Source organism: Homo sapiens, chromosome 1 (genome assembly GCF_000001405.40).
Source record: "Homo sapiens chromosome 1, GRCh38.p14 Primary Assembly".
NCBI classification, from domain to species: domain Eukaryota; kingdom Metazoa; phylum Chordata; class Mammalia; order Primates; family Hominidae; genus Homo; species Homo sapiens.
The window spans coordinates 221,446,113-221,470,934 of NC_000001.11; the positions used below are offsets into that span (position 1 = coordinate 221,446,113).

At 36.8% G+C, this 24,822-nt stretch overlaps 1 long non-coding RNA gene across 1 annotated transcript in view; it reads left to right on the forward strand.

Annotated features, from left to right (window-relative positions):
* Window positions 1–24,105, forward strand: part of LOC105372932 (uncharacterized) — a 166,214-nt gene extending 142,109 nt beyond the window's left edge. Inside the window, exon 4 of the long non-coding RNA XR_922621.2 lies at window positions 24,030–24,105. This is a non-coding gene — a long non-coding RNA (uncharacterized LOC105372932). The remainder of the gene's footprint in view (window positions 1–24,029) is intronic.
* The last annotated feature ends 717 nt before the right edge of the window (window positions 24,106–24,822 follow it).

Sequence of the window (24,822 nt, forward strand, 5' to 3'; positions counted from 1 at the left end):
TTTCTGTTTTGGTAGAATTGCTAAGCTGATTTAAGAATTTATAAGGAAGTACAAAGGACCCAAAATGACCAAAATAGTTTTTGTTTGTTTGTTTGTTTTAATGAGATAGGGTCTCACTATCTTGGCCAGGTTGGTCTTGAAGTCTTGGCCACAAGCAATCCTCCCACCTCAGTCTCCCCAAAGTGCTAGGATTACAGGCATGAGCTAGTGTGTCCAGTCACAAAATGACCAAAATAGTTTTAAAAAAGAAACAAAGTTGGAGTTCTTATGTCATAGGATTTCAAGTTTTATTATAAAGCTATAATAATCATGACAATATGGTTAAGACATAAGGATAGAGCTGTAGATCAGTAAAACAGAATAGAGAGTCATAAAATAGTAACTCACATATTTGAACAATTGTTTTTCAACAAAGAAACCAAAGTAACTTAATGGAGAATAAAGAAAGGATAATGTTTTGAAAACTGGCGCTGGAACAACTAGATATCCATATTTTAAATAGGAGGAAGGAAGGAAGGAAGGAAGGGAGAGAGGGAAGGAAATAGCAAATAATTTGTATTCTTTCCCTCCCTTTCTCTCCCTCCCTCTATGGGTACAAGAGAAAACATCTCTTCAGAATGCTATTTTGGGTGATGAATAGGTTATATGTTAGGAGAGAAGGGTTCTAACCACAGAGTAGGTGGGCATTGACTGAAGGACTAAAGAGTTTTATTCTTAGTATAAAGGCAATAGGACACGTTGTAAAATATTGAGTGGAAATGTGATATAACTGGAAGGGCATTTTAGAGAGCATTTTAAAATTGAAATGTGTAGGAAGGATTTAAATACTAAGAGATTAAAGTCATGGAGAGCAGTAAGGAAGCTTTTACTAATTTGAAGCATGAACACAGACGAGCTAGGACAGGGTGCTATTTTTGGGCATGTTCCCTTCCTTCCCTGTAAGGGGCAGACAAATCTTGGGAAGAACCAAATAACACATATGAAATGAAGAGGGCCATTTCCTGACAAAATAGATCAGGTATGAAAGGAGCTCCAGGGAGAAGAATATCAACAAAGAATAAAATAATTGAGGAAGACTTCGTGGAGGCAGTCAGATTTAATTTGTGCCTTGAAGCAGGGTGGAATTGAGATGCATGAACTTGTATAATTGCACGAAGAAGGGAGAGCACTAGACAAACAAAGAAAGTAAATGTAGTATTGTAACTTTGGTTTGATTATATTTTAAGGGAAGTAATTTAGGCAAAATAATGGTTTCCCCAAAGATTTCTCCATACTAATGTTAGGACCTGTGAATATCTCACCTTACATGCAAAAGGAACTTTGCAGTTGTGATTAAGGTTGAGGACTTTGAGATGGGGATATTACCCTTGATTATTTTAGTGAATCCAACCTAATCACATGAGTCCTTACAGTTCTAGAAGGTTAGAAGTCCAACACATGTTTCACTCCTTAATAATACACTTGTGGCTGTTAGCATCCAAAGACATCCCCTGACAATTCCTCTTTTTTAAATTTATTTATTTTTTGCATGTATTTGCCTTTGAATTCTGGGCCAAACTTGTAACTTCCTTTGGTCAACAGAATGCGGCAGAAATAATATTCTGAAACTTCTGAATTGAAATCTTAAAAGGATGATCAATGTCTACTTCCTGCCTTGTAGAATCTGGGTGGCATGCTGTGAGGAGACACAGGTAGCCCTTGGAGAGGCCCACATGTAGAAGAACTGAGGCCCTAGGCCAATAGCCAAAGTTAAGCTTCCCATTCAACACCCAGCGTCAATTGTCAGCTATGTGAGTGACTTTCCAGCCACCGTCGCATAACGGCACATTATGCAGTTATAGGCAGTCAAACCAGAATTACTCTTAAAATGTTCCTTTCTCATTCTTTTAAAAACATTTCATATTTTCTTCCAGAAGCATATGTTTTCTAAATTGTAAGCATTTTAATGGCAAGGACTCTATCTTGTTTAAGTTAATATTTCAAGATTTAGCCCATGACTGGCACATAAAAGCTACTCAAAACTATTAAAAGAATGAAGAGTGAATGAATGAGTGTTTAACCTATAATCGGAAGGAAAAAAATACAGTGTATTAAAAATAAAAATATAATAATTAAAATAAAGTGCTCAGTTAAGCTTGGAATCAGAATTTTTCACTTGGGGATTTTATCCAAACCCAACCCACAATATTGCCATTAAAACTAAGAAATACACACCACTTCATCCTAATCCTAGCATGCACTAGTAACGTGTCTTATTTCCCATTCCCAAGGCAACTCAGTTCTTGGGTCATTCTGTATATTCATGTGTGTCCTGTTCAGCAGTTCTAAGTATACTCAACAAAGCATGATACAAAGAGTAGCTCAAATGATTATGCTTGTTGGTTGGTTTTTTTATCCGAACAAAAGTGGCTTGTCTTCAGACATTTTTTGGAAATAAAATGCTCTGCTCCAATTGTTGGAAATAATATTTGTCCATAGGTTTCAAACAGGAATCTCAGAAGTTTTTAATTATTGTGTATTATTTCTTCTTTATAATGCCCTGAGCTCACAAGAAAAAAAAAAAAAGGGGGTCTGCCACTGTGGTTGGCATGCCAATGAAGCCTGTTGTGAACTCTCGAGTATAATATAAACCTCTGCCGAACACATAAAATTCTTGGCTTCCGAGAGGAGTCTTGTAGAAAGAGTGCTGTGTTTGCTTCCAGCATAGTTATTCTATTCAGAGCTCTAATCCCAAGTCACTTTTAAAAGACCAAGTCCAAAGAAAGTTGACACAGTTCACATTTTTTAAATTAAAGAACAATTTCTACTCTTTTTATAGTTGACAAGAGTATTGTAGTGTTGTCTTATTAGTAGTGAATAATTCTAGAATACATAAATAGTTCACTTTATAAAAATCTTTTAGGTGACGCGGCCAGATCGGGATGAAAATCCAAAGACTGGAAACAACTGAACTTGAAATTAGCTGCCAAATGACCCAGATGGGGAGAATCGAATATCAAATTTTTTTTTGAAGTTTGAGAAAAGTATCAGGATGGTCACTCAGGCTTAAAGAAATAAAAGCAGCAGGGTCTAGGCTGGCGAATCTTAGTCATTCTGACAATGAAAGGCTAATGGCATGATCTCTGGGGTCAGAACCCTTGACAAGTATTCCAGCTGCATCCCTTGCAAACTGTATGGAGGATAAACATGACATCGAATGGGTGATCAATAAATATTAGGTTGATACAAAAGTTATTGCAGTTTTTGCCACTGAAAGCAATGGCAAAAACCGCAATAACTTTTGCACCAATCTAATGTTAGCTATCAGGAGTCTGCACATGAAACAATACAAAACAAAAAAGTCCAGAGAAACAAAAGAAGTCAAGGTTGGTTATGCTTTTCTCTGTTATTATCTCAATCACAAAGACCCTTAGATTGATCTTTAAAAATCTTAAGCAGAGTATAGTCCAAAGGGAAAATAGAAGAACAAAGAAAGTAAAAGAATCCGATGGATAAATTACCTAAGATTAGAACATGGTACCACATGCATCTTGCATGACAAGAAGAATATGAGATTTTATGGAGAAGCCGTATTGTACACATCTCTTTATCCTCCTGTACCTCACAGGTATGGGAGAGCCCCCAGGATTTAGAATTTATGAAATTACTGATGATAAAACAAGAGTTGCAAGCAGAAAGAAGTCTCATGCTCTAGATCCCCAAGGATATTGCAAAAAAAGACACTTCAAATATGGAGACAAATATGAAAGGGAATACACGTGGCATGAGTATGCTTATTCTCCCATGTTGTATGGTGGTGATGGGAAAGGCAATGATGAGTAGATGTGGTGGGCCTTGGAACCGTATTGATTTAAGAAGGCTGTGGCTGATGAAAATGATGTGAGTCAGTTGAGTCAGATAAACGATGTGTATGCTCCTGGTTATGTCATTTTACCTATCTCACTTTCTGTTTCCCTTCTGTGAAATAAAAGAATGAAACTCAATTGCTGTTAAACTATGTCTTGAAAAAGCAAGGGTTCTAAGGAAGGGCTTCTTTTCATTTGGTTTCTCCAAAAGTAGATCCCAAGATAAGGATTTTCATATAAGTTATTTATTTGGAAGTTAATCCCAGAAATTGTGGTCTTGGAATGGAGAAGTGAGACAGGGAAGTGAAGTAAGTCCATAAATGTGAGTTATCAAGAAAGTTACCCCTGTGAGCAGCTTGAAAGGAATGTTCCTGTGGAACACAGAAACAATGAGAAACAGCAGTTTTTAAACTTTTCCTTTACCATCTTAAAATTTATTCAGGACCTGAAAAAGCTGTTGTTTGTGTTGGTTATATCTAAAAATATTGATGACATTAGAAATTAAAACTAAGAAAATTCTAAATTATGTACTTATTAATTTTAAAACAATTCTAAACACATTACATGTTAAGTAATGCCATTGTATTAAAAAGTTACATCTTCTAATACCAAAAATGTGAGAATGGCATGTTTCATAATTTTTGCAAATCTCTTTAATACCTGGTCTAATAAAAAACAAATAAATTCTCCTATGCTCTTTTGCATTCAATCTGTTGCTATATATTTTGGCTAACATAAAGCTTGCTTCAGACAGATACGTGGTTGAAAAAGAGGAGTCTTTTAATATCCCCTCAGATGGTTGTGTATAATCTTCTTTGATACTACACCAAAACTTGACAAGTAACAATGTCTCAAAGGTTAGTTTCAGTGTGGCAATGTGCATGAAATTTTTGTACTCTATTTCATTAAAATCCATTTTTTAAAATCTTGCACTTTAAACAAATCTTGTACCCATGTTGGATTGTGTAACATCATGCATTGGTCATATGGAAATTATTAGTTACCTTAGGCAAATATTGTAAATGTTATCATATTTCATTATACAACTTTAAAAAATTCTATTCATGAATATCTTCACTCATCTCATCAGAAAAAGCCTTTAAGCATTGGGAAGTCATCAAGCACACATTGGTAGATGTAAGTTTTCCAAAATTCTAATTTTCTCTTGAAAGCTCAGATTTTATTATTGGCAACAAATACTGTCAATGATTTCTTTGAAGTGATGGCCTCATTTCATCAATTTTCTAAAAACTTGTCTACCAAGTACTCAACTCTGAATAACTGCAGTTTGTCCGTTCTTTCAACTCCATCACACAGTTGCCTTTCTTTGAAATAACCATCATACTTCATTATGCTGCAGAAGTGCTTTATACATAGCTCTTAGTTTATTATCTATTTTAACAATTTGTATTTGAGGGTCAATATTTAATAAAATGTAATAATTTTTTACAACTTCATCAAGGATATTCCTTGTGAAACCTTCTCCACAGTACATTTTGGAAAATTTTCATCACACCAAAAAGAAATCCTGTAGCCTTTAATATTTACTGCCATTTTCTTGCAACCCCAAGCCCTAGACAACCAGTAATCTACTTTCTACCTCTATATGTTTGCCTATTCTGGACGTGTTATATAAATGGAATCATGTAGACTTTTGTGACTGGCTTTTTTCACTTAGCATAATGTTTTCAACTTTCATCTATGTTGTAGCCTGTATCAGTATTTCATTGCTTCTAATTGTTTAATAATATTCTATTATACGGATATGCCACATTTTATTTTTCCCTTCACCAGTTGATGGACATTTGGGTTGTTTCCACTTTTGGGATCTTATGAATAATGCTGCTATGAACCTTTGTGTAAAAGTTTTTGTGTGAACATATGTTTCCATTTCTCTCAGGTATATACCTAGGAGTAGAATTCCTGGGTCATATGGTAACTCTATGTTTAGCCTTGGGTGAACTGCCAAACTGATTGCCAAAGAGGCTATACCAATTTACACTGTGACCAGTAATATATGAGTGTTTGAATTTTTTACATTCTTAGCACCACTTGTCATTATGTCTTTTTGATGATAGACATCCTTGAGGGTGTGAAGTCACATCTAATTGGGATTTTGATTTGTATTTCTTTGATGGCTAATGATGTTGAGCATCTTTACACGTGTTTATTGACCATTTTCTTTGGAGAAATATCTATTCAGATTTTTAGCCCATTTGTTGCTGTTGTTGCTAAACTCTTATTTTTACTGGTAAATAATAGTTTTATATTTTATGTATAATAATCAAATTGGGGTAATTGGAATATCCATCAACTCAAACATTTATCATTTCTTTGTGTTGGAAACATTTCAAACCTCTTCTATTATAAAATATATAATACATTATTATTAACTATGACCACACTACTGTAGTATTAAACAGTGGAACTTATCTATCTAACTGTATGTTTGTACCTATTAGCCAGCCTCTCTTCATCTCCCATTGCCCCCAGTCCTTCTCAATCTGTAGTAACCATCATTATACTGTCTACTTCCATGAGATCAATTATTTTTGCTCCCAAATATGAGTGAGAACATGTAATATTTGTCTTTCCATGACTAGTTTAGTTCACTTAACATGATGACCACAGTTCCATCCATGTTGCTGCAAATGACAGGATTTCATTCTTTCTTATGGCTGAATAGTATTCCATTGTGTACAAATACTACGTTTTGTTTATCCATTCATTCACTGATGAACACATAGGTTAATTCCATATCTTGGCTATTGTGAATGATGCTGCAATAAACATGGGAGTGTGGATATCCCTTTGATATACTGACTTCCTTTCCTTTGAATAGATACCCAGTAGTGAGATTGCTGGATCATATGATAGTTTTTAGTTTTTTGACAAACCTGAATACCATTTTTCACAATGGCTGTACTAATTTACATTCTCATTAGCAGGGTTTAAGAGTTCCCTCATCTCCACATCTTTGCCAATATTTGTTACTTTTTGTCTTTGGTAATGGCCATTCTGAGGTGAGATGACATGCGTTTCTCTGATGTCAGTGATATTGAGCATTTTTTAATATGCTTGTTGGTCATTTTTTATGTGTTCTTTTGAAAAATGCCTATTCAGATTATTTGCCCACTTTTTAATGAGATTATTGTGATTATTATTTTCTGGTGAGTTGGGTTCCTTGTATACTCTGGATATTAGTTTCTGATTGAATGAGTAGTTTACAAATATTATCTCCCATTCTACAGGTTATCTCTTCACTCTTGATTATTTCCTTTGATGTGCAGAAGCTTCTTAGTTTAATATAGTCCTATTTGTGTATTTTTGTTTTCGTCGCCTATGTTATGTAAGACTTAGCTATAAAATCATTGCCTAGACCAAATTCCTGAAATGTTTCTCCTATGTTTTCTTCTAGTAGCTTTTTTCTGGGGGTTGGGGTGTGAGGAGAGGGTTTCAGTTTGTTGCCCAGGCTGGAGTGCAATGACACGATCTCGGCTCATTGCAACCTCTGCCTCACAGGTTCAAGTGATTCTCGTGCCTCAGCCTCCCCAGTAGCTGCGCTACAGGCATTTGCCACGATGCCTGGCTAATCTTCGTATTTTTTGGTAGAGATGGGTTTCACCATGTTGGCCAGGCTGGTCTCGAACTCCAGACCTCAGGTGATCCCTGCACCTCGACCTCCCAAAGTGTTGAGCCTTCTAGCAGCTTTTGTTTGTTTGTTTGTTTTGACGGAGTATCGCTCTGTCACCCAGGGTGAAATGCAGTGGCGCGATCTCGGCTCGCTGCAACCTCCGCCTCCCGGGTTCAAGCAATTCTCCTCCTGCCTCAGCCTCCTGAGTAGCTGGGACTACAGGTGCATGCCACCACGCACGGCTAATTTTTGTATTTTTAGTAGAGACAAGGTTTTACCGTGTTGGCCAGGCTGGTCTCTAACACCTGACCTCAAATGATCCACCCACCTCGGCCTCCCAAAGTGCTGGATTACGAGCATGAGCCACCGTGCCCGGCCTCTAGTAGCTTTATAACTTCAGGTGTTATGTTTAAGTCATTGATTCATTTTGATTTGATTTTTGTATATGGTAAGAAATAGGGGTCTAGTTTTATTCTTCTGCATATGAATATCCAGTTTCCCCAGCACTACATATTGATGAACATGTCTTTTCTCAGTTGTATGTTCCTGACACCTTTGTCAAAATCAATTGGCTGAAATTCGACGAATTTATTTCTGGGTTCCCTCTTCTGTTCCATTGGTCTGTGTGTCTGCTTTTATACCAATGACTCAACCTTTGGTTTATTCTTTTTTTATTCTTCTTCATTGTGGGAACTTCATGTTAGGAATGCAATGCTGGCCATGTTGGGGATTTATAAAACTTATTTTCTTTGAAATTTTTGTATTAAAACAAACAAATAAAATGAATAAAAGTGTTGCAGTTTGCCACAGGCACTCATGGCTAGCATTGCTGCTCAGTGTGTTACAGCAACTTCTAGTCCTCTCCTGTAAGATTACACCAGAAGCTTGCTTGCTTGCTTTCTTTCTTTCTTTCTTTCTTTCTTTCTTTCTTTCTTTCTTTCTTTCTTTCTTTCTTTTCTTTCTTTCTTTTTTCTTTCTTTTTTTATAACTATATTTGGACCTGACTCTTGGAAGGGAACCATTAGCTGTCTAACTCAATCATTTGGTTGTGCTGGCCTCAGTGTCACTGAGTCTGGTATAAGATTGCCTCTTAATGAGGGAAGCAGGCCAGGAAACCCTGTGTCATCTGGAGCAACAGTTGAAGGGGGCTCTGGGAAGGTAGGGAAATGTTTGAGAACCTGTCACCTGCCTAGAAAGAGCCATCAGAGCTCCCTGCATCTGCTTTTAGAGTTCCCTGGGGTTGTGGCAAAAGTAGCGGGGGATGGGAGTCTCTGGCTAGAAACCATTATGGAAAAAGTCATGAAGGGCACACACCCCAGGCACAATCTTGAGTCTTTCTAGAAGAGTCAGCCTTGGGCTCAGAGTATTTTTCAACATTTTACCCGTACAACCAAAGTGCTGGTCTAGAATGATTTAGAGTGATACAAACGGCATCAATCCTTCATATGTTTCCTTAATTAAAATCACACATATATACATATGGGCAACAGGCAAATAAAAACTGGTCTTATTTCTTTTTTTCATACAAAAATAACGTATCATCCTTACAAAAATTTAGAAAATATGCTGAAGCACATAATAATAACAATAATACCAAAAAATTAAGTCGATGTAGTCTCATCACTCAAAGATAAGCACTTGCAATATTTTGATATGTTATCTGTCTAGCCTTCCTTTTTAAATATATTTTGTATATATTGTGGAGTCATAGAATTGTTTTATAATCAGCTTTATTTTTTCATATAATACTATCGAGTAAACATTTGTCCAAGTCATTGAATACTACTCTACTATCATCATATTGTCCATACATTATCTCATTATTCAATAAAATGAGTTTTATTTCCTTCTCAAATGTTTTAAACTTTCTAAGAGTCAGCTTTCTTATCTGGCATACCTATTACAGGTATTTTGAAGATTCATTAAAACCAGAAGCAGAACACCTGATATAATAACCATTCAGAGAGCATAACTTGTTGGTGTTACTTCTATTTGTACCACTTCCCTATTGCCATGTTTTGAAATTATTCCTTTTTGTAAATACAAATCAATAATTGTTTTTTAGACTAAATAACAAAATAGATTTATAGAATCAAGGATTTCTTTTTTTTTTCTTTTTTTTTTTTTTTGAGACGGAGTCTCGCTCTGTCGCCCAGGCTGGAGTACAGTGGCGCAATCTTGGCTCACTGAAAGCTCTGCCTCCTGGGTTCATGCCATTCTCCTGCCTCATTCTCCTGAGTAGCTGGGACCACAGGCGCCCGTCACCTCTCCCGGCTAAGTTTTTAGTAGAGACGGGGTTTAGTATTTTTAGTAGAGACGGGGTTTCACCATGTTGGCCAGGATGGTCTCAATCTCCTGACCTCGTGATCCACCCGCCTCGGCCTCCCAAAGTGCTGGGATTACAAGCGTGAGCCACCGCGCCTGGCCAGAATCAAGGATTTTCAATGGAAAACTCTAGAGTGTTTTTCATTGCTCAGCGAGCACAGTCTGAATATCTTCATGAGTATGTCTGTTCTAGAGACCACAGTTATATGATGTGCACACAGAGGATATGGCTGGTACATGCCCATGCCAAAGGGAGTTAAAAGGGGACATAAATGGACATGAAAACAAATTGGCTTTTATAGTTACCTCTTGATCTAAAAAAATACAAGGCAATAACCAAAATATACTTTCTATAACATCTTAAGGAAGACTTGGCTGTTTATGTTGAACTGCTAATATAAGTTGATAGAATGGGAAGAAAATATATACTTGACTTGTGCACATTAGCGTGAGCATCTGAGCATAAAGTGCCACTTTATCAACACAAAGTTTATTTCATTTCAAGTTCCACTGCACTCCATTTCTGCACAGACATAAGATCATAAGATGAAGTTAGAGGAGAGAGGCAAGAATAGATTCCTTGAATTGTACAGGGCTCCATAATGTAGTTATGAGATCTTTGAGAGTCATTATGAGAAAATAGATACAAATTCTGTCCTTAACTTTCAGCATGTAGCAAACTGATAAGAAAATGACAAGAATAGCTAAAGAATGCTAACTGAAGTGCCATAAATATTGAAAACAGAGATGATAATAAGTTTCACAGAGAGCTGAGTCCCAGAGGATGAAAAGAATTGAAATGTGAGTAGTTGATGGCACTGTATTCCAATTGAGGAGAATTGAATAAGAACAGGTAAAGAAGAATGAATTATGGGTGGCATGTACAGAAAGCCATAAAGAGTTTAGTTTGGTCAAAAGAAAGAGTGTGGAAAACACTTAATATTTTACTGAGCACTGACTATGTATGTGATGACTTCTGAGTAGAGGGCTTGATGTGGTATCTTGCTTGAACTCTACAACTCTGTAATAGATTATATCATGCTTGTTTTATAGATTGTGAAAATAGAAACCCCTGAAGATTTCAGGCAAGAAAACCAATCATTTGGAACTGTGCTCCTGGAAGATTAATTTGATGTCAGCGTGCATAACGCAGTGTAATGGGGAATAATAGAGATGGAAGGCCTTTCCATTGTAAAGGCCATGGCAATAGTCCAAATGACAACTGAAGAAGATATGACTTATAAGAGAAGATGAATGTGAGTGTGTTGCAGAGGTTGAATCCAAGGGATTAGTAAGACAATTGCGTGTGAGAAGTAAGAAAAATAAGGATGTGAAGGTTTCACACGTAAATGATTGCAAGGATGGTAGTGGCATTAAAAGAGGGAGAAGAGGAGGTCCCTGGGAGGGTCGATGATGGAGTTAGTTTGGAATCTACTAGGTTTGTAGAAAAGCCAGAGGTAGATCTCCATCAGATGATGGGTATGAGAAAGTAGAATCCAAGAGACAAAAATTTGTGAGTAGAAATGTAATAAGAGTTAATATTAGGCTAGTAGCTGGACACATTTCACAGAATTGGCCACTGCATGCAGTTATGTCACAGAGATACGACAGGACAATCAAACTCCCAAAATTTGAATTTCCAGGATTATTTAAAATTTATCATATAACCCTTCATCTCAAAATTGTTTAGTGAATTTTAATCAAATGAGGATAGCTGTTCAAAATATCATTCATTTTACTTTTGGGAAAAACTTTCATGTCAAAGCAATGAGGGGTATGTGCATGTGTGTGTGTGTGTGTGTGTGTGTGTGTGTGCATATGTGTGTGTAAGCATCTCACTTAACTCCCTTTGGGCCCATCCCTTCTCCCTGTGTATTCCGAGTATTGATAAGAGCAGAATATGTAAGTTGCTGCTGAGGAGGCCTTGAAGAGGCAGTATGCAAAGTCACTTAGAAGCAGAACCTAAGCCATGGTTGAGTCAGACTACTCACATTGGCTAAATTGTGAAGATTTTCTTCTTATGTGGTGAGTCTTCCTAATGAGAAGCTTAAGAAATAAAGTTTATTTTGTTTATAAATGTTTCCACTTGATGTGTTTTTCTCCTAAAAACAAAATACGATAAAAGCAATTTTCATGATATGTCTTTCAAAATTGAATTGCTGGTAGCATTTTTTCCCCATTCCTAAAGTAAACAACTTCCTTTCAGATCTAAAATGTAAATCATAATTGTGCTTTCTTTCTGGGGCTTCTGCCTTTTGTCAAATTAACAGCTCTCGAAAGAAGCGCATATGTTCAGCTGACCTGCAGTTGGACCTAACATTTCTTTCCCAAACTGTCAGATATTTTAGTCATGGAGGAGAGAGGACACACTTCCAGAATCTGCTGTGTGTGGCCCGGATCCTGTTCTCTGGCCCCAAGCAGTCTAATCGCTCTGCCTCACAGGGGCCGCTTTTGGCTAATGAATCCTTAGCTCCAAGTTTTTCCTCTTCCTAATGAGTGCTAATAAAATGCATTTAACTCCACTAATGCAACAAAAACTCAGCATTATTTCATTGTATCTACTTAATAAGAACCTTGTTTAATATCAAATTACAGCCTGTTCAGCCAAAGCATTATACAGGGGGAAGTGGGACTGTGAGAAGGGAGTATCAAGTGCTCTAATTTAGACATTCCTCCTTAGTATGCCCTGCAGTATTACGTGATTGCTTAATTCATTTAGCCGAGCTAGTCTGATCCATCTGCCAACTGTTGTGTAAAATTTACTGCAATGCTAGGCAACCAGTCCCACCACACAAGCTAGAAATATAGTATCGCTTTTCCTGGGACCAAGTTATTAACAGTTGTTTGGGGAGAGGCAAGAGGCAATGGTGCAGATACTGTTACAAAAAGGAAGACCTTCTGGATGTGCCTCATTTTATAAAATGGTTACAGCAAATCCCATTTTTTATTCATCAAAATGTGTTTCTAATTGTTCATGGTCTAATTTCAGAGGCATTTCATCTTTACTTCAAATTTATCTTCGATGAGCAATGATGTCTAATTTCCTATTTATCTTAGCTTTGAACTTCTCTGTCTTCTTTTGACCAGCCTCTCTCTCAAGAAATGATCAGTAACGAACATCTACTGGAAACTTTCCATGTGAAGGAAAGAATCATTTTGTAATTTGAGTAATCATTGCTTGAATTAGATAAAGTTCCATGTATATTGGATTTTCTTAAAGTGAAGTACATCTGTAGTCTTATTTCTGTAAACTAAAGGCAAAAGCCTTATTTTGAGTTTCCCACCAAATTTAGTGACCTGGAAATTTCTGTTCTTCTTGTTACCTGAGAGAGATTGCATTTGGAGACTTTTTCATCTACATTGTTCCTTAAGTTACAAGATTCTATTATCCTTGATACCTGCATATTAAACTGGTAGATACACTTCTCTTGGATGTTTGAAGGCGTTAAAAAAATTTGTAACTTACTCATGGATTTATGAAGAGAAGAGAAGTTGGGGAAACTTAGAAGAGCTTCCTTCTATCATTTTATACTTATTCAGAAAAGCCAAATGTTACATATAGATAGGAAAATAGTTTTCAAACTGTTTAGGAAAATTCCAGTGTAAAGGAATAATAGTTATCTTTCAAGACCTTATAACTGGTCACCTGATAAGAAAATGGGTGAAGATGGTAGGACTTCATTCAAGACTTATCTTGTAGAGTTCATGTAGGAATTATTAAGACCAGAAATTTGTTGTTGCTCAATTTCTAGTAAGTGGCTTGAATCAAAATTTGGTTCTGCTCACTAACAACAGTTAAGTACCCTTGTAACTCCTTAGTGGGTGAAGTGGAGATTCTAGATCCCTCCAGCCAAGGACAAGGCAGGTAATTATTGCCAGGTATAACCATGTTCCATAGCATTCCAACATCTCAGAAGAATAAATGGATATTTCTACCTAAACAGAAGGTGTGCCTTTGTTCAAAAATGAATCTGGATAGGACAGAAGTTTTTATACCTTCTAGTAATACATTTCGTTTTTTTTCCTTCTTCCAACCTTGATTTTTGGTCAGAATATAAAATAAATTTCAAAACAAAATGATGTACGATTTCAAATAATTGCATGAAATATACTAGTAATAAAAGAGCCAATATGTAGTGTTTTTATGTGATAGGGAATATTAATATGAAACTATGTCCTATATAATGTTTTTCTCCTGATGTTTAAAAACTCTATAGTTATAGATCATCTATTTATTTGTAAACTGTACTAAATAATTTTGTATCAAATCTTCCAAGCTAAGTTTATTTTCAATGTATTGGTAGAGAAATGCATCTAGGTAGCTTTGTAGTCAGACTACACTCATCCATAGGCTAATGAAAAATTAACTTGGGGAAGCTTTGGGGAAAGCAGTCAGGTACTGAGTTTTTCTTGAACAAAAAACCAAAAATTTAGAAGAATATCCTTTTTGAAATCTAGTCTTCATAGGGAAAGCTAGCTTTCTTCCAAACTAAATCATCAGAAATGGTAGGATTAACTGATGTATAAGTAGAAATTTCTCTCTCTGAGATATTGTACTGTTTAACTCATGTAACAGTGAGAAGAAGCTTTGATTACTTCAGGGAAGAGGCTAAAAAAAGAAGAGGTTTATTATGTCCCCAGTGGGCCAAGGTTTCTAAAGGTATCTTAGCCTCTGTGCTCCTAAAATAAAACATAACCCTTACTAGCAGAGCCTTTCCTGAGAATTAACATGCTCTTAGTTTTCTTTGTATCAGACATTCTGGAAGTGTTTCTTTTAAAGAATCAAGACTCTGGTGAGAGCTAAGAAAATGAAGCCATGAAATTTCTTCCAATCCTAAACTTTTAAGGGACTAGAAAAAGAGAGTTGCTTTGCTTATAAAATGAAGAGGATCATATAGACTTAGTTTTACTGTTGTTTCTTTGAGCACTTACTTGGTATCATTCTTGTATTTGTTAAGCATCACCACAAAGTCACCTTAAATTCTTCTCACTTGTCCTTCACAGAAAACCAGCCACTGAGTCTGGAATCTTCTATATTCTTCTTTTCCTGCTTCTTTCAAATACATCTTATTCACTTCTCCCCTGACATCATTTTAAAATCGCTTTATTGAAATATTGAAATTGCCATTAAAAGTAATGGCAAAAATTGCAATAACTTTTGCACCAACCTACGAATTTAAAAACCAGAAATCTACCCATTGTAAGTGTAAAGTTTGATTAGTTTGAGTAAAATTATACATTTGTGCAACAGTCCCCACAATCCCGATTTAGAACACTTTCCCTTCCCCAAAAGTTCCCTGGGGCACAGTTGCAATTAATCCCCACTTGCTGAGTCTCTGACAACCATGGAACTACCTTCTGTCTCTATGGGTTGCCTTTTCTGGACATTTCATATAAATAGAATCAGGTGGTCTTTTGCATCTGGCTTCTTTCACTTAGCGTGATGTTGTTGAGATTCAGCTATGTTGCAACGTGTGTCATTACCTTGTTTTTTTATTGCTGAATAGTATTCCATTTTATGGCTATACCACAATTTGTCTGTCTATGTATCCATTGATGGGCATTTTGGTTGTTTCTAGTTTGGGGCTGCTATAAATAATGCTGTTATAAATATCTGTGTACCTATCTTTTTGTGGGCGTATGTTTTCATTTCTCTTGCTAGATATATAGGAGTAGAATTGCTGGGTCATGTGATGAATATATGTTTAATTTTTTAAGAAACTGACAAACTCTTTTCTAAAATGGCTGTACCATTTCTTCCTGCCAGCAATGCATGAGCCTCCAGTTTCTCTACGTCCTAGCTAATGCTTGTTATTTGCAGCTTTTTTATTTTAACCATTCTAGTGAGTGTGTGGCATGGATCTCATTGTACTTTACCGATTGGCTTTAACCTAGTGACTAAGATGTTGAGCACCTCTTCCCCTGTTTATATTATCCCTTATTTCAAACCTTCATCCTTTCTCACCAGGAATACATGTAAAGGACTATATGCTATTTACAGGTTTTCTTTATCCAGCATACCTTCTCTTTAACATTCTTCTGGTAATAAACTCCTTTTGTCCTGTGGAGACCCCATTACACACTATTCAAGTGTGAAAGATCCTGCCCTCCTATTGAGTGCCATGGGAATGAGGCCTGACTAATTCGATAATAATATTTTCTAAAGAAAGTGATTGCTTTAAGATTGAGGTCATCACATTTCCCTTGAAAGAAGTTTTTCTGCAGAGACGTGGGAAATACAACTAAACACACATTCTAATCTTGTTAGTTGCAAGTACCCAGGACTAGCTAACCTACCAACCTCTAAAATTGTGGGAAATCATGCACAACACATTCTAAGGCTTCCTTGACTCTGTCATCACCCACCCCTGTAAAAGCCTCCCCTTATGGACAGGAGAGAAATTAGGCACCCTACTTACACAGCCTCAATAAATGAATTTATTTTATTCTACTTTACTCAATTTTTTAAATTTTATGTTATTGCTTATTCTCCTCAGATCTCCTTCTCTTGCCCTAATATTAACTAGGGGTTTGATTTGGAGAAAGGAGAATGACTGGTTATGACCAAATGCTCAGGCTTGTTCTAACTTGCTTGGAATAGTAAGTCTGCCAGAAACTTTGAGGCCCTGTACGGCCAGTGGTCAGACTCTTAGGGGCTGGTTGCCTTTTACAAGCCTTGTAATTTTAGACAGGTTATGCAACATCTCTCTGCCTTAGTTCTGGGATCAGTAACATGGGATAGTAACAGTTCCTACTTCATACATTTGTGGCAGTGATTAAATATGTCATACATCTTAAAAAGTGCTCATAACAATGTCTGGAACATACTAAATGCTCAGTAAGTGCTTATTGCATGTGCAGACCTAGGAGGTACTACTAATGAACACCACAGGTAACTGACAGAAAGAACTGGCTCTGAAAGCTCAGAGAATTCCCGTGTTCTACTTCGCCAATTGACTGTTAGTTTATGATTCTGAAAGAAGAGCACTATTGCTGAAAAGTGTTATTGTTTTAGATCATCTAACCAGTTTCTGATGTCAATCATTACTTTAAAGAATTTCCTCTCTACCACATTTCCTTCCCCACCACCTTCCTCCCCCCAGTTCAGTAATTGCTGAAAATAATCAGCTTGAAATATAACTTGATAAAAAGCTCTTAGCTATCCTCACTGTGCTTTAATAATGAATCCTCCCTTAAATGAAATGCAAAAAAGATGATAAGACATTCTAGGCACTTTCTCTTTAGCCAAAGCCAGAGATTTTATACAGATAAAATTCACATTTTATTTGTACAAGCCCCTTTAGCAGATTTTGTTTATATTATTGGCAAAATTATGATCACCATTACCTTTATAGAAGTGTATTTCTTCCTTTCTTCATTCATTTATTTTATATATATGTATATATATCTGTGAATATTTACTAGATAAGGGGTTTTAGAGTATATTAATTAATGTTATATTCTTATATTTCAAGGGCTTTGAATCTAGTAGGAGAAAACTTTTAATAATTATACACACAACTAAAGCAAAGTATCACATTACAAATGCTGAATGAGTGCTATACAAAAAAAGCTCTAGAAGTCTTGAGAAGAGTTCACATTGGTGTGATGATCATGGAAGGCTCCGCAGATGGTAAATTTAACTAGGACATTGAAATAGGGTGGGAGGAGTTGCAACTGGAAGAAATTGCAGGAGTTAGGAAAATGCAATGTGATCAGAAATATCAAGATCTTGCTGTGGGAATGGAAGTGTGATCTGGGCAAGCTGGAAAATATTTGAAAAGAGTTTCCATAGTCATACTAGATTTGCTCATAATAATAACAATTGTTAATATATGTGAAGATAAATATACTGTCAAACTATTAGCAAAATAAGTGCTTTGCAATCATTTTTCCAGTTGCATGTAGAATTTGGCACTGATCTACACACACTGTCTCCATCTGGTCTATTTTGTGACCCAGAACACACAACTATGTAGTAGCTGGTGTCTGAATATGGTGCTTTGAAAAATAGAATTAATTGGTCCGTCATTATATCTTCTCCTGCCACTCACAAGAAATAACCACTAAGCTCCTTAATTAATGTCACAAACAAAGATAAATCATCAACCATTTTGTGATACTGATAGTTATTCAAAGAGAGCCCACCTCTCCATTTTTAGTAAAGGAGATGTATCATTGTTGAAGCTAGTGGAATGATCCCAAAAGGAATTCAAGAGGGGAAAAAGACAACTTTTATTCCTATCTAGAGGCAATTCCTTTGGCCCACTCAAGGGTTTTCCTCCAGCAATTCTGCTGTCTCTTGTATCCCTCTTTCCTGGATTATTTCCATCTTAAAATAGCACCTTCTTAATTCACTCAGCTTCCCAGTGCAACAAAACCCCTCTAAGAGCTGTTTTCTACACTGGCTGTTCCATTTCCTTCCACTCCGTAGTTGAGTTTTTACCTCTACCTTTTCACAGAAAATGCCTTATTAAGGTAACCATTGGACTCCTTATTGCCAAATTCAATGGTCAATTATCATTGATCTCATCTAACTTGGCCAACTGACAGGATTTGAGATGATTGATTGATTATTTCCACCTTTTGAAATATCTTCTCTACTTCTGAAATAATATATCCTTGGCTTTCTTCCTACCTTCTGAATACTTCTTCCAAATCTCCTTTGCTAGTTTCTCTTTGTTTTCTTTACCCCTTTATGTTGAAGTACTTTGGAGTCAATTCTTGTAACTCATCTCTTTGTTTTAGCTTCATTCACTCCTTTGTTGATCTCATCCAATCTGATGGTTTAAAATGTATATCACAAGTCCAGACTTTACTCCTTCATTCCAGATTGGAATATCCAATGATCGAGGCAACAGTTTCACTGGGGTTGTCTAACTGACATTTTAAGTTCAGGATGTCCAAAACTGAATTCCAGATCTTCCTTCTACATTTGCTCCTCCTACACCCTTCCCCTGCATCCAGTGTCTCAAAATAAAAATCTTAGTATTATCCTTCACTCATCTCTTTCTCTCATGTCCTATTTCTCATTGTCAAAAATTCCTGATGGTTGTACATTCAAAATATAACAAAACTGCATTATATCTTACTACCTCCACCACTTACAACATGATTCTAACTCATCAGCATCTCTCTCCAGACTTCTACGGTCACCACCTTGCTGATCACCTTGTCCCTCTGTTATCCAGTCTCTCTACATGAAGAATCTTTAAGTCAGATCATGTCATTCCTATGTTCAAAATTTTCCAGTGACTTTCCATTTCACTTAGAGTAAAAGTTAAGTCTTCATATTGGTCTAAAATGCCCTGTGGGATCTGGCCATCATTAGCTCCTTGACATTATATGTACTCTGTCTCCCTCTAACCCACTCATGCTGGCCACACTAGCTTCTCACCTTTCTGACCCATCGGGCTTATGCACTGCTAGTCTCCTCAGCCTGCAAAGTTCTGCCTCCGGATATCCACACTACTAACTCCCTCATGTCCTTCAAGTGTTAGATCAAATACTATCCTACGAATGAGGCTGACCCTAAGTAATGCTCTTTAAAATGGCAATGTGTCCCCAAACTCTTCTCCTGCTTACTTTATTTTATTTTTTCTCGACAAATTGCTTTTTACCTTCTAATATATCATGTATCCCATTTATATGTTCTATTTATTATTTACTTTCCATTTTTTTCTGCCAGGTTGTGGACTCCATTAAACCAGTATTTTTTGTGTAAGGAAGGTGTGTGTTTGTGTGTGTGCGCATAGGTATCTGTGTTGTTTCTTGATATACTTTAAGAACATGTTACAGAGTGTGCTCTCAATATATATTGTTGCATGAGTGCCTTTTATATTTCCAGAAATTTATCCATCTCCTCTAGGTTTTCTAGTTTGTGTGCATAAAGGTGTTCATTGTAGCCTTGAATGATCTTTTGTATTTCTGTGTTATTGGTTGTAATATTTCTCATTTCATTTCTAATTGAGCTTATTGGATCTTCTCTCTTCTTGGTTAATCTCACTAATGGTCTATCAATTTTATTGATCTTTTCAAAGAAACCAGCTTTTTCTTTCATTAATCTTGTGTATTGTTATTTTGTTTAAGTTTCATTTAGTTCTGCTCTAATCTTCATTATTTTTTTTTCTTCTGCTGGGTTTCGGTTTGGTTTGTTCTTATTCCTCTAGTTCCTTGAGGTGTGATCTTAGAATGCCTCTTTATGCTCTTTCAGACTTCTTGATGTAGGCATTTAAGGCTATGAACTTTCCTCTTAGCCCTGCCTTTGCTGTATCCCAGGGGTTTTGATAGGTTGTGTCACTATTACCATTCAGTTCAAAATTATTTTTAAATTTCTGTCTTGATTTCATTGTTGTTGACACAATGATCATTCAAGAGCAGGTTATTTAATTTCCATGTATTTGCATGGTTCTGAGGGTTCCTTTTGGAGTTGATTTCCAATTTTATTCTACTGTGGTCTGAGAGAGTACTTGATATAATTTTGATTTTCTTAAATTTATTGAGACTTATTTTGTGGCCTATTATATGGTCTATCTTGGAGGAGGTTCTATGTGCTGATGAATAGAATGTATATTCTGCAGTTGTTGGGTAGAATATTCTGTGAATATCTATTAAACCCATTTGTTCTAAGGTATAGCTTAGTTTCTTTGTTGATTTTCTTTTTTTTTTTTCTTTTTTTTCTTTTTCTTTTTTTGAGACAGAGTCTCGCTCTATCACCCAGGCTGGAGTGCAGTGGCACGATCTCGGTTCACTGCAACCTCCACCTCCTAGGTTCAAGCGATTCTCCTGCCCCAGCCTCCCGAGTGGCTGGGATTACAGGCACGCAACACCATGCCCGGCTAATTTTTGTATTTTTAGTAGAGATGGGGTTTCACCATGTTGGTCAGGCTGGTCTCAAACTCTTGAACTCATGATTTGCCCACCTCGGCCTCCCAAAGTACTGGGATTACAGGCATGAACCACCGCGCCAGTCCTCTTTGTTGATTTTCTGTCTTGATGACCTGATTAGTGCTGTCAGTGGAGTATGTAAGTCCCCTACTATTATTGTGTTGCTGTCTATCTCATTTCTTAAGTCTAGTAGTAATTGTTTTATAAATTTGGGAGTTCCAGAGTTAGGTGCATATATAACTAGGACTGTGATGTTTTCCTGTTGGACTAGTCCTTTTATCATTATATAAGGTCCCCTTTTGTCTTTTTTAACTGTTGTTGTTTTAAAGTCTGTTTGTCTGATATAAGAATAGCTACTCCTGCCTGCTTTTGGTGTCCTTTTGCACGGAATATTTTTTTCCAACCCTTTACCTTAAGTTTATGTGAATCCTTTGTGTTAAGTGAGTCTCCTGAAGATAGCAGATACTTGGTTGGTGAATTCCTATTCATTCTGCCATTCTGTGTCTTTTAAGTGGAGCATTTAGGCCATTTATAGTCAACGTTAGTATTGAGATGTGAGGTACTATTCTATCCATCATGCTATTTGTTGCCTGAATGCCTTGCTTTTTTTCATTGTGTTATTGTTTTATAGGTCCTGTGAGATTTATGTTTTAAGGAGGTTCTATTTTGGTGCATTTTGAGGATTTGTTTCACTATTTAGAGCTCCTTTTGGCAGTTATTGCAGTGCTGGCTTGATAGTGGCAAATTCCCTCAACATTTGTTTGTCTGAAAGAGACTGCATGTTTCCTTCATTTATAAAGCTTAGTTTCACTGGATTCAAAATTCTTGGCCGATAATTGTTTTATTTTAAGGAGGCTAAAGATAGGACCCCAATCCCTTCTGGCATGTGGGGTTTCTGCTGAGAAATCTGCTGTTACTCTGACAGGTTTTACTTTATAAGGTTACCTGATGCTTTTGCTTCACAGCTCTTAAGATTCTTTCCTTTGTCTTGACTTTAGATAACCTGATGACTTTGTGCCTAGGCGATGATCTTTTGTGATGAATCTCCCAGGTGTTCTTTGAGCTTCTTGTATTTGGCTGTCTAGATCTGTAGTAAGGCTGGGGAAATTTTCCTTGATTATTCCTTCAAATAAGTTTTCTTTTAGATTTCTCTTCTCCCTCAGGATCATCAATTATTCTTAGGTTTGGTTGTTTAACACAATCCCAAATTTTTTGGAGGCTGTATATATATAGATAGATAGATAGATAGATATATTCTTCTTTGTGTTTGTTGGATTGGGTTATTTTGATAGCTTTGTCTTCTAGCTCTGAAGTTCTTTTCTCTACTTGATCAGTTCTACTGTTGGGACTTTCCAGTGTATTTTACATTTCTCTAAGTGTGTCCTTCATTTCCAGAAGTCATGATTTTTTTTAATTTATGCTATCTACTTATTTGGGGGATTTTCTGTCCATATCCTGTAACATGTTTTTAATTTCTGCAAGTTGGTAGGCACCTTTCTCTGGTACCTCCTTAAGTAGTTTAATAATCAACCTTCTGAATTTTCTTTCTGGCAATTCAGAGATGTTGTCTTGGTTTGGGCCCATTGCTGGTGAGCTGGTGTGATCTTTTGGGGGGGTTAAAGAACCTTTTTTGTCGTATTACCAGAATTGTTTTTCTGTCCTTCTCACTTGGGTAGACTATGTCAGAGGGATGATCTGGGGCTCGAGGGCAGCTGTTCAGATTCTTTTGTCCCACACGGTGTTCCCTTGATGTGGTGCTCTCCCCCTTCCCCTAGGGGTGGTGCTTCCTGAGAACCAAACTGCAGTGATTATTATTTCTCTTCTGGGTCTAGCCCGCCAGTGGAGCTACCAGGCTTTGCTGAATGCCTTTTAGATCAGAGCCCTGGATCAGCACATTTTCTTATACTTTGTCATTATGTCATAAATTGGCCACTATAAGAATGGCTGTGACATGGATTCCTTTGTATGTGTCAGCTGGAGTGTGCAACTTGTGGAGGAATTTAAGCACTTTTCCACAAATCGATTACAGCCTGTTGCTCTTGTGTTTTCCTCCGTTATAGAACAGCCAAGTCAAATGGCAACGAGAAGTGACTGGGAGTCGCCCAGTCTGTCACCAACAGCGCAGATGGAATTTCTTTATTAATTAATAAAACAAGTGGAGAAGATTCCTAAGACTATACAGAAGTGGTAGAGAAAAAAACATACCTTCTTCCCAACTTTTTCTTCAAATCCAATATATATGGTTGAAACTTCATCTATGCTGCTTAATCAAAGAATATGTTAATTTTTTTCAGTAAAATGAAATTGAAATCACTCTCCCACTCTTCACATACTTTAGGCAGGATGTGGATTGGCATAAATACCCACCTGGTTCCCAAGGGCTCTTTTCAGCTAGGATTAGAATAATCTCAGGACACACATGGGATCATATATTACTACACCATGATGAAAATTAGAGAACTGGCTTTTCTCTGTTGCTTGTCCTGAATGAGAGTTGAGGGCAGGGGTCCAGATTTTGCCCTGATAGATCCAGCCAGTGACATTCTAAGTGAAGATCACACACACACACACACACACACACACACACACACACACACAATTTTATTTTGAAAAAGAAAACTAATATTTTAAGATAATGACGAGAAGGACTCAGTAGGAAATAGACTGGAGTCTATTCCAGTTCCAATTTCACACTGAAGAGCAAATGTTATTTGTCTTTATATCTAGTATAAGAAACCAACATCATTTTTGTAATAAAACAAACATGGGATTCACTGAGGCTTGCAGAAGAGAGAGGAGGACTGTAGAGGTACAGATTTCTGCTGCACTATGCACAGCTGGTTTTAAGGGATGCCTACCAGATGGTAACGTTTGTCAAAGATGAAACATTGTATCCACAAGCGTGGAGGCTGTGCCCTGTGGCAGAGCAATTCTTTTCGGAAAGAATGTTGGGGAAATAATTCTTCTGATGGGCTAAATGTATACATTTTTAGTGGTTGTGGATTTATTTCCACCTTGGGCCAAGATAATTTTAAGTTTGTTATACTGTCTCATGAACCATAGGTTCTAAATAGTGAGAAAGAGATGAGGTGGAATAGGGGAGGAAGGGAGAATGTGCATTTTGGGGAGCTGAGTTTCCCTGATGCTGAAAGATTGCTTCCAATATAATCATTGGCTTGTGGTTTCATTTTCCTCTTTAAGGGCAGGGTACTTTATTCAATTCTGTATATCTCTGAGGTAGGAAATTTCTTATGCTACTTTGGCTTAACTCATGAGTGAGACGGAGGCTCGGAAGATCATTTAGCACCTAACAGAAGCAACCTTTCATTTTTTGGCAGGTGGGTAGGGAGCAAGGAGGGAAGAGAACATAATTCATTCCTGCGGATCACAGTCTCCAGTTACTCCTGATCTGAGTCATTCTTTTTCCCAGTGAGAATCAGGTACATAGAAGGTACCACCAGAAAGGTTATTTTAATTTACCCTTTTGCTGATATTCCTCTCACTCTGGGTTAAAAGAGCTGAGCATGGCAATGCTTGATTTATCAAGTCTTTTTCTAAAGTGTTTTTCTCTGTGCTCTGTCTTCCACCTCTGACTCAGCCATATACAAATGTACATTCCGGACGCTTCTAACCCTTCTAACCAATAGACATGATTAACTGTTATCAGCATAATCTAAGGCTGAAGATTTTAAACTGATCCACTCCAATACCAACCAGTTGATAATCACCAAAGCAACGTATATGTTTGTTTTTCCCTGTTAATTGGCTTTCAGTGAAATGTCATGATGTGTCAACATTTGCAAATTCCTGCCCTGCTCATACAAGGTAAAAATTACTTGATCCATCCTAACTAAGCCACAGGCCTTCTCAGACATGTTTTTGTTGTTCTAAGGAGGAAGAATTTGTTACACTTATGTAAGTAAATTATTTCCAGCAAACAAAAATGCAGTGTCTACAGTGTGGCATCAGAATCTCAATTCGTCTGGAAACTCTGTGAAGAGCACTTTTCAAATTATTTATCAGCCTTTCCCAGGTCACATCTCTATTTTATTTTTGCTCCTTTCAAAGGTATTCACATCTTTCCTATGCTCCATTCCCATTTTCAAAAGGAGGTCGAAATAACAAGCTTTC